At 50.8% G+C, this 18,018-nt stretch overlaps 2 pseudogenes across 1 annotated transcript in view, besides 2 other annotated features; both read right to left on the reverse strand.

Moving 5' to 3' along the window:
* Positions 1-5,263: 5,263 nt before the first annotated feature.
* The window catches only part of FAM21EP (family with sequence similarity 21 member E, pseudogene), a 46,622-nt pseudogene continuing 33,867 nt past the window's right edge, over positions 5,264-18,018 (reverse strand). Inside the window, exon 7 of the transcript NR_038275.2 lies at positions 5,264-5,549. The product of NR_038275.2 is annotated as a family with sequence similarity 21 member E, pseudogene (transcript). The remainder of the gene's footprint in view (positions 5,550-18,018) is intronic.
* Positions 8,977-9,477: an enhancer, noted in NCBI's record as "H3K4me1 hESC enhancer chr10:51784655-51785155 (GRCh37/hg19 assembly coordinates)". NCBI's record gives its function as "activates a minimal SCP1, AML or CMV promoter by ChIP-STARR-seq in naive H9 embryonic stem cells {active_cell/tissue: H9 hESC(naive)}" and the evidence as "EXISTENCE:reporter gene assay evidence [ECO:0000049][PMID:30033119]".
* Positions 9,454-11,445, reverse strand: SLC9A3P3 (solute carrier family 9 member 3 pseudogene 3; annotated as a pseudogene).
* Positions 11,449-11,948: an enhancer, noted in NCBI's record as "H3K4me1 hESC enhancer chr10:51787127-51787626 (GRCh37/hg19 assembly coordinates)". NCBI's record gives its function as "activates a minimal SCP1, AML or CMV promoter by ChIP-STARR-seq in primed H9 embryonic stem cells {active_cell/tissue: H9 hESC(primed)}" and the evidence as "EXISTENCE:reporter gene assay evidence [ECO:0000049][PMID:30033119]".

An 18,018-nucleotide genomic window follows, 5' to 3' on the forward strand; every position in this document is an offset into this window, starting at 1 on the left:
GGGGAGGAATAAATGGAAATTATACTATTGAGTTGGAAGAGAGAAACCTACCCCATCAGTCACAAAACCCTCACATTCATGGCAGTGTGCCGGAGGTTCCAGTATGAATGGCATTTCCCAGATGTCAGTGCAAGGTCCCTGTGGAGGGAGTGGGGCTCCCTGGGAATCTAGTGGAGAGCATTCGGGGCTCCCTTCCTCAGGAGCCTGCCCTTCCTGCACAGAAGCATCAGCCTCACCTCTGTACCACTGCCCCTCTGCCTCTCAGAACCCACTCGGCTTCAGGAAGTTTCTACTGCCGGCCTCCTTTCCTGGATACAGCCTCCAGGGACTCAGCCCTGCCTTCCCAAGTGTTCCCGCCACTCTTGGGAAGGGGCGCTCTCAGATCCCGCACCCCTGGACTTCCCTGGGCACCACCTGCTCCTTCTTTCTTCACTTCTCCAGCTCTGCGTTCTCACTCTGAGGGTCCTCTCCTGCTGGGAGTGTGTGTTGCTGGCAACAGTGAAGATTCTCCCCTGGGTGGCCCCCCCATGCCCTGTTCTTCTGCACTTCCCTGGCTTCCTGTGTTGGTTCTGCTGGTGTCACCTGCTTTTGGGTTTACATGGCTTCCCAGCTTCCTAACTTCTCTGAAGTTGAGTTTGATGTGTGTGTTGATGATGGGCTTTTTCTTCCTCCTCCTCCTCCCCCTCCTCAGTCTTGTCGTTGCTCCACATAGTTTCCAGAAGGAGAAAAGGGACACTGTAAAATTAAACTGCTGCAGGCCGGGCACAGTGGCTCACGCCTGTAATCCCAGCCCTTTGGGAGGCCGAGGCGGGCTGATCACCTGAGGTCAGGAGTTCGAGACCAGCCTGGCCAACATGGTGAAACCCCATCTCTACCAAAAATACAAAAATCAGCAAGGCATGGTGGCATGTCCCTGTAATCCCAGCTACTTGGGAGGCTGAGGCAGGAGGATCTCTTGAACCTGGGAGGCAGAAGTTGCAGTGAGTCGAGATCATGCTACTGCACTTCAGCCTGGGTAACAAGAGCGAAACTCCATCTCAAAATAATAATAATAGTAATAATAATAATAATTAATAATAATAATGCCATGTTTCTATCAGACCCAGAAATCCCGCAGAGTGAGCTGGAATTCTCTGTTTATCTGTTTCCCCTTCATACCCACTGGCTCCTCTCTGCCCGCTCCTTCTTGGACTGCATCAGCAGGGTGCCTCACTGTCTGGCCCTAGTGGAATTCACACAGTGGAGGACGTCATAGGAGGTGGGAGAGAGAGAGAGAGGAGAGGTGGTTATTCGCTCAGGTTCTTCCTTGCTGGTTTGGCAGTGGCCACATCTTTCTACTGATGGCTGCAGCTCCTGATGATCCTCCTCTACAGCCACAGCCCTCTTTGGGATCTGTGGACACCTTTCCTGTCCCTCTAGACCCAGGGAGATAACAGCTCCCACTCTTGCTGGTCCAGGACATTCCTCATCTCTTACTGGTTCTCTTAACTCGGTCCACACTTCTGTGAACAGCCCCTTTCCTCAAGTACCCATTCGAATATGTCCTCTGGCTTCCACCAGGAGCCTGACTGATACCCACAGGTGGGTGAATGCTGGCGTGCTGCTGGGCCCCTCTTCCTCTGGTGACTGGCCAGGCAAGTCTCCAGGAGTCTCGTTAGGGTGGGCAGGCGGTGGGCACAGCACAAACTGTGAGCTCAAATCCACAGAACAAAAGTGGGAGAAGACGCTGGCAGGATGGACCGCCACAAAACTCTTGGCATTCGTGACGTCTGTCCTTTAAATCACGCAAGGCATCATCATGCTTCAGACATGAGACAGCCTAAGTATTTAAGTATTTCAAATAAACAGATTGTTTTTCAGAATTGGTAATTGCTAAGTTGGCAAATTGCTATTGGAAACATTGGCTGTCCTTGACTCAATGATTCAGCCAGCTAGTCCCTTGCCAAACTAGTTGGGCAAATTCCACCTTGAGAATTTATCTGCTCCTATCAAAGCCAGATTCTCCCTGCCTGAGGGGAGGCTGGACTTGACCTTCTGACTCAGGATATGCTGACTTGGGTCCCTAGGTCCAAGGGCGGCCCTCTTGGGCCCACTGTGGGCTGGACCTCTTCCATGATGGGGTGGTGGAGGGCAGGCACCACCTGATTCACCCTTGACCTCATCGAGGCAGGTGAAGTTCCCTGCAGGAGTCACCTGAACCCAGCCCCTCAGATCAGGATCCATCATGGTAAGGAGGATTTTGGGCTGTCTCAGGTTCTTTGGCTAGAAAAGGGTCCCGCTCTTAGGTGTCTGCCCCAGAGGTGGGACACAGAGGGCCTGCTGGGGTCCATGGGCTGGGCTGGGTGGGCGGGGATCTGGTCACAGCAGCAGCTAGAAAGCCAAGTGGGAGGGCACCAGGGCCTGGGGCCCCTGTCTGGTCCTGGGCCTCCCCGGGCCTCTTGCCTTCTCCCCAGCAGGCGTTTGGGATCTGTGTCTGGACCCAGCCTTACCCAGGAAGTCTAGGGCCATGGTGTGTTGTCATTAGAATCACAGTGCTCACGCCAAGGCATTGCATTAAAGCAGGGCAGGGTCTCATGGGCAGGGGACCAGTAGAGGGGGTGGAGGGAAGGGCAGTTGTCCCCAGAGGCTGTGGTGGGCCTGGCTCTGGGCTGGGCAGTGGGCCAGTGTCCTGCTGTGTGGCTGAGCTCTGACAACAGGCTGTCTGGGGTTGGTGAGCTCCTGAGAGAGGGGACTGGTGCAGAGTACCCTAGGGTGGGAGCTCATGAGGAGGGAGTCCGTGGGGTCTGGAAGCCATTCTAGAGCAGGCAGATGACACTTGTCAGGGGAACAGGCATAGAAAGGACCCCTGTGGGGGTGGGGGACATAGAGCCTCAAAAGAAACAGGGAAGGGGCTTTGACGGATCCAGGGAGCATCCCTGAGATTTCTTAGCCCAATTCCAACCAGCCATGTCCCAGGTGTCCCTCCCCCAGCACCCAACCCTCTGCAGTGCCAGCTCAATGCCCTGGGCAAAACATCCTGGACTCTGGCTGTTACAAGAGGAGGACAGGGTCATCTGGACCTGCCTGAACTCCAGGCCCCCCACTTTCACAGCCCCTTCTGGGTCCACAGGTTCATACGTATATAAATGAAAAATGTGCAAGAATCATATTACTGTATTCTTTTTCATAAAGAGGCCCCTCTAAATTGTTGAAGCCCCGAATCACCCCTGCCCAAAGGAGACAGCAATGGCATGTGTGGGGCCGTGGCCTTGAGACCCAGAGGTCCTGCTGCCCATGGTACCCACTGCCCACCCTAGGGGGACTGGCCATAGCCCTGGAGCCCCCAAACACCATGCAGGAATGCAAGAGGGTCTCAGCTCCCGAGTCCCAGGCTGGGAGGGCCCACAGTCCAGTAAACTAATCAGGCCCTGACATATCCAGTAGAGCAGCTCCGGGAGCCTGCATTGGGGAGAGGGCATCAGACCACTGCCCCAGGCCTGCACCCCAGAAGTAGGAGCATGGGAAGACCTCTCCTTGGCTCCTGGCCAGTGGAAGTCACATTCCCCAGCCCTCTGGCTCCAAGGCAACCTCATGTCCCAGTCACTCCTTGGCCCACCCCACCAGGTTGGCTCACTGCCAAAGGGCACCTCAGTGATGAGTGGAGGGAACAGGTGTTTACCAGGAGCTTGCATGCTTTGTCTCAGGGATGATTAGGGACACAGCCAAGAAGGCACACTATGCCCATTTTACAGATGAGGAAACGGAGGCTCAGGTTGGGCTGGTGACTAAGGAAAGCAGCATATGGCAGGTGGCTTGAGGCATGTCTGTCCATCATGAGTAACTAGGGAGCAGCCCTGCCACTCCTCATGTGATGCGCCAGGAGCCAGGGAAGCTGCTTTCTAGGGGATTCTAGGTAAGGCCAGAAGCATCTCCCTGAGTGGTGGTGGAGGCCTCTGTCTACTCCTCCAGGACTGCCAGGGGATAGGAGGGCACCGCTGACCTCACAGAGCCTCTTGGGTGAGTGAGCATCAGCTGAGTGGCGCCAGGTGACTATGCTTCTGCTCAGTGCTGTGCCCCCTTCTGCCTCGGTCAAGGCACCACCGTGAATGCCCCACCTGTCCCATGGAGGCCGCAAACTGCTCTGCAGAGCCAGGGTCTCCAGGAATGGGGAGGGCAGCCACCCTCACTCCACTTGTGTTTGTGACCCAAAGGACTGCCCGGGTCTCCAGGAATGGGGAGGGCAGCCACCCTCACTCCACTTGTGTTTGTGACCCAAAGGACTGCCCAGGTCTCCAGGCCCGTAGAACCCCCAAACCCCTGACTGGGCCACACTGGGGACCTTGAGCAGCAGACTTAGATTCTTAGGTCTTGTCTCCGGGTACATATCAGTGCCCAGGCTTGGGAAGCTTGGGTCTCAGGGGGGTTGGCACTCAGGCCCTCTGCCTCAAGGAAGGGGCATGTCCAGATCTCTCCTGTCCAGCCTCAGCCCTGCTCCCTGCCCCTATCCTTCACGGGGTCCCTAGGACAGGGTTACAGAAGTCTCATGCTGTCAGGCGATGCTGCCACCCCAGTGCCGGGGTGGCTCCACCCAGCCCCTTTCCTGCTACCGTCCTCACTGACTCACCTGTCCAGCCTCCTACTGGGCTGGGGCGAGGGCTTGTTGCCCCAGAGCCCAGACGAGCACCAGAGGCATCTCTAAAGGCACATTGGGCCAGTCCTCAGCATCCTAGTTGGCCACCATCTGCTGCCACATGATGCTGGGAGGCCTGGGGAAGCTGGCTGCCGAGGGCCTGGCCCACCGCACCGAGAAGGCCACCGAGGGAGCCAGTGAGGACCCGGGGCTCCTTTCTACCTGGGCTGGGGGGATCTGGGGCAGACTGGGTCCATTGGAGGTGGATGTTAGTAGGCAGGCGAGGACCTGCGGGGAGGCCTTGGCCCCTCAGGAACCCTGGAACCCTGGCTTCCAGCCCCACCAGGTCAGCACGGAGTTGAGGGTTGGAGAGCTGGGGAGGTCTCCTGGGGGCAGGGCATGAGTCCTGGTGCTGGGTGAACACTGGCAGCTTGGACCCTTCCCTCTGGAAATCTGGGGAGCCTTTCTTATCAAAACAGCCTATTCTGAATAACCTATGCAGGAAAAGGAAGATGGATTTTTATTTTTACCACAACTTTAAAGCTTCAAAGATTTCTTAAGAAATCACCCAAATCTGATCTGTTCAAAGTCAAAAAGGACATTTTCAATTTCATCCAAGTCCCCTAAAGCATGTTTATTTTTATTTTTATTTTTATTTGAGACGGAGTCTTTCTGTGTCCCCCAAGCTGGAGTGTACTGGTGCGATCTCGGCTCACTCTAACCTCTGCCTCCTGGGTTCAAGTGATTCTTGTGTCTCAGCCTCCCAAGTGGCTGGGATTACAGGCGCCCACCACCATGCCCGGCTAATTTTTGTATTTTAAGCAGAGACAGGGTTTCGCCATGTTGGCCAGGCTGGTCTCAAACTCCTGACCTCAAGTGATCCGTTCCTCTTGGCCTCCCAAAGTGCTGGCATGACAGGCGTGAGCCACTGCGCCCGGTCCTGAAACAAAAAAATTGTTTTGTATTCAGAGGTCAGCAGCTGTGTGTGTGTGTGGGGGGGGGGGGGGCCAAGCAAGGCCCCACCCATGGATCATCGTGTGAAAAACAGTCTTGCCTGAGTTTGTGTCCTCACTCTAAATGGCAGCAGACGTGTATTTTCTTTTTGACTCTGCAGCTGGTGTGGACCACCTGCTTTAACCTTTCACTAGCCTCTGAGTTTTCTATGATTCCTGTTGGGAGAAAAGCTGAGTGTTGGGAGAGCAGTGGGCCTGCTCTGAGCCCTCTCCCTGGACTGGGGGAGCAGTGGGCCTGCTCTGAGCCCCTCACCCTGAGCTGCAGGGGCAGTGGGCCTGCTCTATGCCCTCACCCTGGACTTTGGGGCCAGTGGACCTGCTCTGAGCCTTCACCCTGAACTCGGGGGCAGTGGGCTTGCTCTGAGCCCTCACCCTGGACTGTGAGGCCAGTGGACCTGCTCTGAGCCCTCACCCTGGACTCGGGGGCAGCGGGCCTGCTCTAAGCCCTCACCTTGAACATTCAAGATTTAAGAAAGTTTGCCAGCAACAGATTCTGTTGAAAAGAACTACTTAAGAAGTCCTCCTGCAAGAAATGACATGAATCCAGAGGAAGAAGCAGTGTGAAAAAAGTAACAATTCTCTAAGTAATCAGCCAATGCTATTATTTAAGACTAAAGTATTGATTGCCATGGATGCTTAAAATAACAATTTAGAATTAGAATTCTGGATTATATCAACAGGAGAGTTGGGGAAAAGGAAAACAGCGGGAGGAAGTGAACACTCATCTTGTTTGGGAAGAGTCTATATGTACTGTTTACCTTTAGATTTTGTTAGGCAACATTATATATGGATATAAAAAATTAAAAGTATTAGAAAAATAACAATGAAATGTATAAATTTCAAACCAGTAAAGGAAATAAGATGGAACAAAGAAATTTCAATCAACCCAACAGAAAGCAAGAACAGGGACAAAAAGAGAAACAGCATAATCAATAGAAAACACAAAGATAGGCCGGGCATGGTGGCTCACGCCTATAATCCCAGCACTTTGGGAGGCTGAGGAGGGTGGATCACTTGAGGTCAGGAGTTCAAGACCAGCCTGGCCAACATGGTGAAACCCTGTCTCTACTAAAAGTACAAAAATTAGCCGGGCTTCTTGGTGGGCACCTGTAATCCCAGCTACTTTGGAGGCTGAGGCAGGAGAATCACTTGAACTTGGGAGTCGGAGGTTGCAGTGAGCTGAGATCATGCCATTGTACTCCAGCCTGGGTGACAGGGCAAGGCTGTCTCAAAAAACCAAACCAAAACAAAATAACCCCACAAAGATAATAAAGTCCAAACAAATGAGTATTCATAATAAATGGGCAATAAGAAAAAAATCAAATGAATACCAAATAGGCAATTCATATGAAAATACTATTCAAGGAAATTAAAATTGCTAAGAAAGAAAAAATGCTCGATCTCACCATTTATCAAGGAAATACAAATAAAAGGGCATTGAGATGCTATTTTTACTGATTAGATTGGCAAGTATTTTTAACTTTGATAACAAATGTTAGCCGGAGTTGGGCAAATGGGTACCCTCATGTCCCACCAGAGGGAGTGCATATTAGTGCAGTCAATTTGGAGGGCATCTGACATATCTATTAAAACCAAAACATTTGCATGTGTGTGCAAGAAAGTATAGTCAAGATTATCTTAGCAACATTGCTGGTAGCAGTGAGATATTGGCAATGATCTAAAGGTCCATCATTGGGAGAATAACTACATGAACTATTGTATGTTCCTACCACAGAATACTCTGCAGCAGTTAAAAACAGTAACTTAGAATCATTTCTTTCTTTTTTCATTTTCTTCTTCCTTCCTTTCTCTCTCTCTCTCTCTCTCTCTCTCTCTCTCTCTCTCTCTCCCTTTCTTTCTTTGAGACAGAGTCTTGCTCTGTCTCCCAGGCTGGAGTGCAGTGGTACAATCTCGGTTCACTGCAATCTCTGCCTGGCAAGTTCAAGTGATTCTCCTGCCTCTGCCTTCCAAGAAGCTGGGATTGCAGGTGCCCACCACCATGCTTGGCTACTTTCTGTATTTTTAGTAGAGATGGGATTTTACCATGTTGGCCAAGCTGGTCTCGAACTTCTGGCTTCAGGTGATCCACCTGCCTTGGCCTCCCAAAGTGCTGGGATTACAAGTGCCCCCCACCAGATTCATTTCTTATAGTACGAGTAGACTTACTGTGACTACTTAAAAATTTTCAGAAGGAAAGGAACAGAAACATATTTTATATGTGTAAAGCCACATAAGACAACACTACCGTCTTTTCACAAAGCCCTTTCGCCTTCCCGCTTGCCCTCTTCTTTCCCCTATCCTGCTTGCCACCCTCTTTTTGCCCTCCATCTACCCCAAAACTATTCTCCCCATCGTCTTTTTCCCAATCCTCTTTCCTACCTCCCTCTCGCCACCCTCTTTTCTCCTCCCACTTGCCACCTTCTTTTCCCCCCTCCATCCACCCAAAAGCTTTTTACCCACCGTTTTTCTTTCTGCACCGTCTTTCTTTTCTGCCCTCTGTCTTTTCGCAAAACCTTCTCTCCCTCCCGCTCGCCACCCTCTTTTTCCTTCTCCCACTTGTCACCCTCCTTTCCCCATCCAGCTACCCAAAAACATTTTCCCCCACGGTCTTTTCGGAAAACCTTGTCTCCCTCACTCACCACTCTCTTTTGACCCCTGCTGCTCTCCACCCTCTTTTCCCTCTCCATCTACCCAAAAACATTTTTTCCTCACTGTCTTTCCCCCCTCGCCATCTTTTCACAAAGCCTTCTCCCTGCTCCTGCTCACCACCCTCTTCTTCCCCACTCCTGTCCCCTCTCCCACATGCCACCCTTTTTTCACCCTCCATCTACCCCAAAACTATTTTTCCATCGTCGTTTTCCCAACCCTCCTTCCCACCTCCTGCTTATCACCTTCCCCCCTCCATCTACCCAAAACCTTTTCCCCCACTCTTCTCCCCACCGTCTTTTATGCCTCCTGCTCGCCACCCTCTTTTCCCGCTCCATCTACCCAAAAACTTTCCTCCCCACTGTCTTTTCTCCCCACTGTCTTTTCACAAAACCTTCTCTCCCTCTTGCTCGCCCCGTTTTCTCCCCCCTTTACCAATCTCTCTTTAGTCCTCCCACTTGCCACCCTCCAGGGTCAGGCCCTAAGTCCTGGCACTCTGGACGCACCCCACCGTCAGCAGGGAGAGGCGCAGGGCTGGGAGGGGCCTGGAGTCTTGCCTGGGGCATCACTTTTGCAAATTTATTTTGTGCGGGCCTCGGTTTCTCTGGCAGCGATTCCAATGGAAGCCAGCTTCAAGCCTTGGAACACCGGCATTTCCCGGCCTAGTGTCACAGCGGCGTCTCTCCCGCCCCCAGGACGTGCGCAGTGCTTGGCACAAGGGTGGCAGCAATGCCAGCTTCAGCAGCACAGTATGGCCACACAGGCCCAGGCCCCGGCCCGGGTTCGCGGGTTCGCGTTAGTGCGGCTCTGCCGGAGTAGGCGCAGAGCTTTGGGAGTTCTGAACCCCTAAGCGCGAGTCGGGCGGGGGAGCCCAGGAGCTTCTCGGAGGCCTCAGTGAGCGGCCCATGGGGACAAGCGTCCAGTCAGGGGCATGTCAGAGCCGGTGTCACATGTGCGTGCACTAGGGGAAGGCAGCCTGGGGTCGCTCCCTGGGGCCATCTGCCTGCAGGAATGAGTCCACCGACTTGTAGCTGAGCTGCAAGGGCGTCAGGCAGCGGAAAGTGCCAGGAGAGTGGGGGATCTGCACGCAGGCCCTCTGTGAGGACACCACCATCTCCCCAGGAGACAGCCAGGGTGGCACTCTGGCGACGAGGCTGGGGTCTCAGTACTCGCCCTGACACCACCCCCCTCCCTCGTCTCCTCAGCATCATAGTTGGGGGCCTCCTCCGTGTCTGAAATTTGCAAGTCTTTCTCCTGAATGGTGAAATTGTGCACGGGGCTCTACCTGGGCAGCTTCCTATTGGGGATGCTGCTGTTTTACCGCTTCTGGGCGCTCTTTGGCTTGTACAGCTTGGCTGCCTTCTTGTTCTGGTTGATCCTGAGCTTGCTCAACTTGAAGGACTCCAGGTGCTTCCTCATGGACCTGTGGAAGATTTCCCGGTCCCGCTTCTTGTCCTCAGTTGGTGTGGCTGTAGCGATGCATGTACTCCTTCCCCGGCTTGCACAGGTACTGCTGCAGCGTGTGGTGCGTGACGGGGTCCTCCCCATACGGAATGCTCTGCCACACTGCTCCAGGGACTGAACGTCCAGACAGACGGCACTGATGTTCTCCCTCAGAAGGTAGGAGACAGAGGCCACCATGGTGGACAATCGTGCCGTGAAGTCCATGTTGACGACGTTATCAGTACTTGGGGAGCTGATGAAGGCCACGGACCTTAGGCACTCTCCTTTGGTGGCTTAGCTGATGGCATCCTTCAGGTTCAGCTCATGGAAGACATTGAGGATCCCATATGGAGACTTCTGGGCCAGCATTCTCATGAGAACCCCACTGAGGAACTTCCTGTCAAAGTGGGACCACATCTCTCTGAGATAGTTGTGCCTGATATGCCGGGATATGTCCTTGATGGCCAAGAGGATGTGGTTGAAAGCATGGTGGTGCAGCTTCTCATGGAGCTTGGGCTCCTGGTGCTCACTCCTCTTCACCTTCAGCCACTGCACCAGGGACTTGATGGTCAGCCCCTGGAAAATGACTGTGAAGAAGATGATGACGGTGGTGCTGACAAACAGGTTCTTCTCCTTGACCTTGTTTCTGTCCGGAAGCATGACCAGGATGAAGGCCATGGCCCCATGCAGGCCTCTATAGGACATGACCACCTGGTCTATGATCTCCAGCTGCATCATCCAATAGCACTACAGGAGTCAGGACTGGATGACACCATGGCTCGGTACATGAAGGTGTAGGCCAGTGCAGGAGGATGAAGGCCATGTTCCACGTCCAGATGAGCAGGTTCATGACCGAGATGCCCAGGGATATGAAGATTGTATTGACACCACTGGCCAGCATCTTCACGGTGTAGTGCATGGTGTTGGCCGACTGCTCCAAGATGTTGGCCTTCATGTACTTATGACAGCAGATGCCACAGAAGATAATGGCCAGGATGGCCAACAGCAACAGCTTCTCAGACGTCCTATGGACGGGTAGGAGATGACTAACACAAAACCAGGCTAGATGATGTGCACATGCTTGGTGAAGTGGGTCACCAGTGACAGCAGGAAGGCAAAGACCACCCCACAGTCATGCCCCCCAGGCTCACCACAAAGGACACTACACTTTTGGCATGGTCCACGCTGATCATGTTCTCATCATCCAGTGTCACAAAAGATTGAAACACATTGTACAGTCATTCAGTAGCAACTCCCTGAAGATGATGATGAACAGGACCTCATTGACATGAACTTCCTCAAACCCAACCAGTATGGCTGCTGGGTCCACAGTGGTGATCAGGCTGCCGAACAGGAGGAAGTCCAGCAGCCCTATCTGCAGGTTGCCCATGAGCCTGCTAAGAGAGATGCCATAGAGGAACAGGATGGTGGTGGCTGCATTGCACACAGTGCTGATGACCTGGTACAGCAGGATGGTGCCCAGATTGCCAAAGAAGAGCCGGTTGGGCATGAAGTAGTCGGCATCTGCATGATGGGGGACGTCAACATGAAGTCGCTATGTGGTCGGCCACCCAGATGATGCTGCCCAGCACCAGGCCCAGGACGATGAGCAGGGGTGCTCTCAGGGACCACGGTGATGCCTTGTGGGACAGGTAGAACCAATCTTGGCCAGCCTGACCACAAGGATGCAGATCGCAATCAGGTACTGGTCCTGGACATTGGCCCATTCAAAGGCGGCCACGTGGGAGCCCTGGCTCACATCGTGTACACTACCGTGCTCCTCCTCGACACCCCCTCGCCCGTAGCAGCCACCCAGCACCAGCGCCACTGCCATCAGCAGCCACCGGCAGCAACATCAGTGCTCCATCTCCATGCCAGCCTGGGACACGCATGTTGTGGGGAGTCCCAGCTGTGCTCAACTGATGCACCATGCTGGGGCTGCTGAACACACAACCCAGCAAGGAGCCCAGCTGCCTTTGGGGCCGTTGCTGATGGCAGTCCCCTTGTTTTGTTTTTTAATCACACATCACTTTTTTAAGTACACACACATAAAATATCACTGAAATGAGATATTCTTAGAACTTTTTTTAGTTCAAAGTTCATCTTCTGTAATACTTTTGACTTAAAATCATCAGTGCCCTCATTTTTCCACACATTGTTTTCTGTTCCATCAAGAGAAAGGGACAACAAACTATCACCCATGAGCCAAATGTGGTCCTTCCTTTGCTTTTGCAAATAAAGATTTGTTGGAACACAGCTACAATCCTATGACTGCTTTCAGGCCCTGATGACAGAGTTAAGTGGTTGCAGCTGAGCCTGTATAGCTTACAAACCAAAAATATTGCCTACCTGGCCCTTTGCACAAAACATTTGGTGGCCCTTGATTGAGGAGCGCAGGAAGTGAAGCATTTCTTGCAAGCATGTCCACTCATCCTGGGGATGTTTTTTGTTTTTTTGAGATGGGGTCTCATTGTTGCTCAAGCTAGAATGCAATGGCACAATCCTAGCTTTCTTCAGCCTGGAACTCCTAGACTCAAATGATGCTCCCACCTCAGCCTCCTGGGTAGCTGGGACTACAGACACAGGTAACCATGTCCAGGTAATTTTCAAGTTTTTTTTTTTTTTTTTTTTTTTTTTTTTTTTGTAGAAATGGTGGTCTCACCATGCTGTCCAGGCTGGTATCGAACTCCTGGGCTTCAGTAATCCTCCTGCCTTGGCCTCCAAAAGCTGTGGGATTACAGTTGTGAGCCACTGTGCCCAGCCTGGGATGGTTTTTAAGTCCCATTTTTAAGTCCTGTTTTAAGTTTTTAAGTACTTGGTTGTTGCTTTGCAAGAAAACCTGGATTGCAGACCTCCCTGCAGGGATGAATATGTGTCTGTCTCACCAACATCACACAGGCATTCTGCTGCTTTGTTCCCAGGCTTCTTGCGTGCACACTAGCTTTTCAATTCAAAGCTGAATCACAGTCGAACTTTCTGAAGACATTTAAAATAGCACCTATACTCCACATGTGAAATAACCATGCCCAAATCTTAATTGATGTGACAACGCTATGAACCGCTGTGGCTGAGTCTGTATGAGACCAGGCAGGACAGCCATGTCACAGTTGTGATTAGAAGACCCAGCTAAATTTCAGGTATATGAAAATGTGAAAAATCAAGATGTGTATCTTTATATTGATGAAATACTGCAATGCTCCTCCCTTAGGTTATAAGCATGTGTGGTTAAATCAAGACAGTGCATGCGAACACTGAGCCATGTTCAGGACACACTTGGCACTCAGTAAATGTTGTTGAGATGAATTTAGTGGAGGGATGGTGACATTGCTCTCCTGACAAACCCACTTGAGATAAAGCAGGAGAGAAGTCTTGTAGGCAAATCCCATGGAGAAAAGGCCCGGCTGCTGGGAGGCAGGTGTGTGGGAGTTGTGGGGAGGAGGTTTCTGGGTATTGTCTGTGGGATGGGACCTAGAGCTCAGCTGTCATCTCTTTGTTTTGTTTTTGTTTTTGTTTTTGTTTTTTGATGGAGTTTCACTCTTTGTTGCCTTGGCTAGAGGGCAGTGGTGTGATCTCGGCTCACTGCAACCTTCACCTCCCAGGTTCAAGAGATTCTCCTGTCTCAGCCTCCCAAGTAGCTGGGATTACAGGTGACTGACACCACACCTGGCTAATTTTTGTATTTTTAGTGCAGACAGGGTTTCACCATGTTGGCCAGGCTGGTCTCGAACTCCTGACCTCAGATGATCTGCCTGCCTCGGCCTCCCAAAGTGTTGGGATTACAGGCTTTTTGTCTTTTAAGCTTTGCCAAGATAAATGCCTTCTGTTTGGAAAGGATGATTTTCAAGAGGGCCAGAACCTCCTTCCTGGTTCTAAAGGAAGTTTGGGCCAGGGCCCCTTGAGCTTAGGGGAAGGCATGAGTGCAAAAGTGATGGGGGCAGGTGGTTTTCATAGCTGGATGATGTAGAATGCATTGTGGAAGGGTGGCTGCAAGTGGCTTTGCTTAGCTTGGCCACCTGGAAGGAGGCTTAGGGTCTTCCAAGTGGCCAGGGCCTTGAGGGGATTAACCCAGCCTCTTGGTTCCAGTTATGTATGTGGTTCTTGAGTCAAATGGGCCAGGGTCTATATCCACGGTGACTCCAGCATCATGGCCAAGCCTGAGTCCTCCTCTGTCTGCAGAGGGATGACATAGAGGCCATGCCAGGGATTTCTGTCCCCACATCACACAGCTGATGTCATGACCTAGAAGTGAACAGTAAGCCAGCTGATGAAGGGGTCTGTGGGGAACCTAGACTATGAAAAGAGGTAGGGCACTGGGTCTGCCACACATCCCCTGGGTCCCTTCATTCCCCTTGGCACAGGGAAGTTCCTCTCCTGGGGAGGAGAGGCTTGCACCCTGCCCCTGCTTCTGCCCGCTACTCTGCCTGGTTGTTACGGCCACTTGGCTCAGCCTCCCTTGCAGCTGTGGCCTCATGGGAAACTCAAAGTCTCAGGAGGATCCAGAAACCAAGACTCTTGGGACATGGAATTTGGCAATGCCCTGGTCAAAACCATCCAGAGGGAGAAATCTTTACAAAGATCTCCTAAGACTGCAAATGGCAAAATGTTTCCCAGTCTCCAGCATCCCTTTCCCAGCACTCAAGGGAAGACAAGAGGTGTTAGTGAGTATCTGATCCAGGGCTGCATCTCCTGTGAAATCTTGTGATTTATAAGATCCAGCAAAGGCTTTAGTCAGGCTAGGAAGAAATTCTGAAACAGGGGATTCCCTGCTGGAAAGCCTGTATGCCAGCACAATTAGGAAAGACTTCAGGAAGAACAAAGGAAGCCATGGTGCAAAGGTGTGGCCGACCCAAATATTTCAGCTTGAGGAGCCTTGGCTGCTGTTGGGAATGAGAAGCAATGGCGTTGGCTGCTCCAAGTCCACATGTAATCGATATATATATATATATATATTTTTTTTTTTTTTTTTACTTGTTTTGCTTTTTTAAGAAACTTTTTGGAGACATAATCTCACTCTGTCACCCAGGCTGGAGTGCAGTGGTGTGATTTTGGCTCACTGCAAGCTCCACCTCCTGGGTTCACTCCATTCTCCTGCCTCAGCCTCCCAAGTAGCTGGGACTACAGGCGCCCGCCACCACACCTGGGTAATTTTTTGTATTTTTAGTAGAGACGGGGTTTCACCATGTTAGCCAGGATGGCCTCGATCTGACCTCGTGATCCGCCCGCCTCTGCCTCCCAAAGTGCTTGGATTACAGGCGTGAGCCACCGCGCCCGGTTGAAACAAATTTTAACCTAAAGATACACAGAACTCAGGTACCTTCAGCATGCTCTAATGGCCATCAGCCTATCCCTTCTCCCCTGTAATATTATGCTGAAGCAACATGCAGACATTATATGATTTCATCTGTAAATATTTTAATGTGTATCTCTTAAAAAAGGGACTCTTTTCAAGAAACATAACCAGAACAGTGTTATTGTGTTCTGTTTAATAAGAAGCCTCAAGGTGGTTAACATCAGGCCTTGGAGTGATGAACAGTGTTCTCTAAGCTGGTCACTTCCTTTGCAGGGTTTATCCTTTGTGCTCAGTGCTGGTCAGTGGGTGGGACAGTCGGTCCTAGGCTGAGCACAATAATTCAGCTCCAGTCAGACCCTGCTGTTTATCTCAATCTCTCTCTCACTTTTGAGACGGGGTCTTACTCTGTCACCCCGACTGGAGTGCAATGGTGTGATTCCTGCTCACTGCAATCTCTGCCTCCCAGGCTTAAGCAATTCTCCCACCTCAGCCACACTACCACACACAGCTAATTTTTGTATGTTTTGTAGAGACAGGGTTGCACCATGTTACCTAGGCTGGTGTCTGTGTCTCTCTCTCTCTCTAACATTTTATTTTTATTTATTTTTAATTTTTATTTTTTACAGAGATGAGGTCTTGCTTTGTTGCCAAGGCTGGTCTTGAACTCCTGGCTTCCAGTGATCCTCCCACCTTGACCTCCTAGACTCAAGAGTTTCTAATCAGGAGACACTCATGGAAGAACAGAGTAGGCCTCCTGGGGATGCTCTGGGACTGGAGCCTTGCCTCAGCCTCTTTATTTTAAACCTTGGTCTAAAGTCTCCTATGACCTCCCGGCTGAGTTCATATTACACAAGCCCCAAATCCCTTTGTAGCATTTAGAAAACTGTAACCACAGAATTCTGTGCCTAGCTGTATACCTACCGTCTTGCCCTTGAGAACTAAGTGCCTTGAAGGCAAGGGTCCTGTCTTGCTCAAATCTTACACCCAATACCTGCCACAGCTTGTAGCACATAGTAGGTGCTCAGATCAGCTTTGTGAAATGAAGCAGAGAAGTCAGGGCACCTGGGTTCATTCCCCAGATTTTTTTTTTTTTTTTTTGAGACTGAGTCTCGCTCTGTTGCCAAGGCTGGAGTGCAGTGGCATGATCTCTGCTCACTGCAAGCTCCACTTCCTGGGTTCACGCCATTCTCCTGCCTCAGCCTCCTGAGTAGCTGAGACTACAGGCACCTGCCACCACTCCCAGCTAATTTTTTTTGTATTTTTAGTAGAGACGGGGTTTCACTGTGTTAGCCAGTGTGGTCTCGATCTCCTTACCTCGTGATCCACCTGTCTTGGCCTCCCAAAGTGCTGGGATTAAAGCATGAGCCACCACGCCTGGCCCATTCACCAGATATTTACTGAGCACCCAACCTGTGCCAGCCACTGTGCTAGAATCAAGGAAGACAGCAGTTGTAGAAAAGGAGAGGAAAATCCTTATCTTCTCAGAGCTTACATTCTGCTGGAAGACAATGGATGGGCAAGGAGATGGATGAATATATGCTATGGGACCAAGCCTTTGCTCCACCCTCACCTTGCTGGATGACCTGGGGTATTTCACTTCACCTCGGTGAGCCACAGTTTTCCATTTCTGTCAAATAAGGAAGTAGGGCAAGATGGTCTCCTTAGAATTCAAAACATTCCCAGAGGGTCTGCAGGGATTTCTCAAACATTGAATTGTCTTCCATCCAATGTCAATGCTTTAAGCATACTGAGGACCCTGTTTGTTCCTTGGACATAATTAAGCCCAAGATTGTGTGGGCAGGAAACTCAATGCTCATGTTTCAGGAAAAGCACTGGATCCAATGATTGCCAAGTCCAACCCCAGCTCAGATCAGCTAATCGGGGACCCCATGCTTCTGCATTATCTTCTTTCTGTTTGTAAAACAGGCACATCCTAGGTGCTTCAATATTGAGTTCCAGCTGAATCAGCCCTTCCAAGGTCACTGCCCAGGGTATGTATGGGGCATCCCTAGCCCTGGGCTGTGAACCCCTGTCTATCCTTGTTACTCTCAGCAGAACCTAAGGATCAATGGAAGATAAATGGCAGGGGTCAGAAATGTGGGGTTTGTGTGTGAGGAAGAGAGATGCCCAGGGGCTCCAGCATCACTTGGAGGACAAGAAATCGATGGAGATAAGTGGGGGGTCTTGTCTGGGCTGGTGCAGGAGCACTTCTTGTTTTCACAGACAGCCCTCATTCCTGCACAGCCATGATCCTCATTCCTTAGCTGGGTATCCCAATGATAGAAAGAAAACATCACCAACAAGTTGGGTATTGGGGTTCTGAGGTCAGGTTGGACTTGCCTCCAATCTCAGCCCTACTGTGTGGAGCAGTGGAACCCTTATATGCTGCTGGTGGGCAACCAATTTACAGAGGCAAGTTTGGCAGTTTCTTGTATAACTTACCCTTATCATGTGACCCAGCAACTCCATTCCTAGGGATCTAACCAAGAGTAATGAAAACATATTCTCACACAAAAACTTATACACACATTTTCATAACAAAATTATTCATAATAGCTCAAGACTGGAAACAACCCAAATGTGCACCAGCTGAAGAATGGATATGTAGATGTTTGTGGTCCATCCATGCAACAGAACTTTATTTGTCAATAGACAGGGATGAAGCCACAATGGACATTACAACACGGATGAACCTCAGAAGCATTACACTATGTGAAAGAAGCCAACCACAAAAGGCCACACTATATGATTTCACTTAGAGGGAATGTGCAGAAAAAGGCACATCTGTGGAGTCAGAAAGCAGATTGGTGGTTGCGTAGGGCTGGGGGTGGGAATGGAAGATTGACTGCAAACAGGCAAGAGAAATGTTTTCAGGGTAATAGAAATATTCTAAAACTGGCTTGTGCTGACGGTTGCCCAAATCTATAGATTTACTGATCTAACTGTACATTTATTGTGAGTAAATTTTATGGTGTGTAAATTATGCCTCAGTAAAGCTGCTGAAATATGCAAAATAA

Source organism: Homo sapiens, chromosome 10, assembly GCF_000001405.40.
Source record: "Homo sapiens chromosome 10, GRCh38.p14 Primary Assembly".
In the NCBI taxonomy this organism is placed as follows: Eukaryota; Metazoa; Chordata; class Mammalia; order Primates; family Hominidae; genus Homo; species Homo sapiens.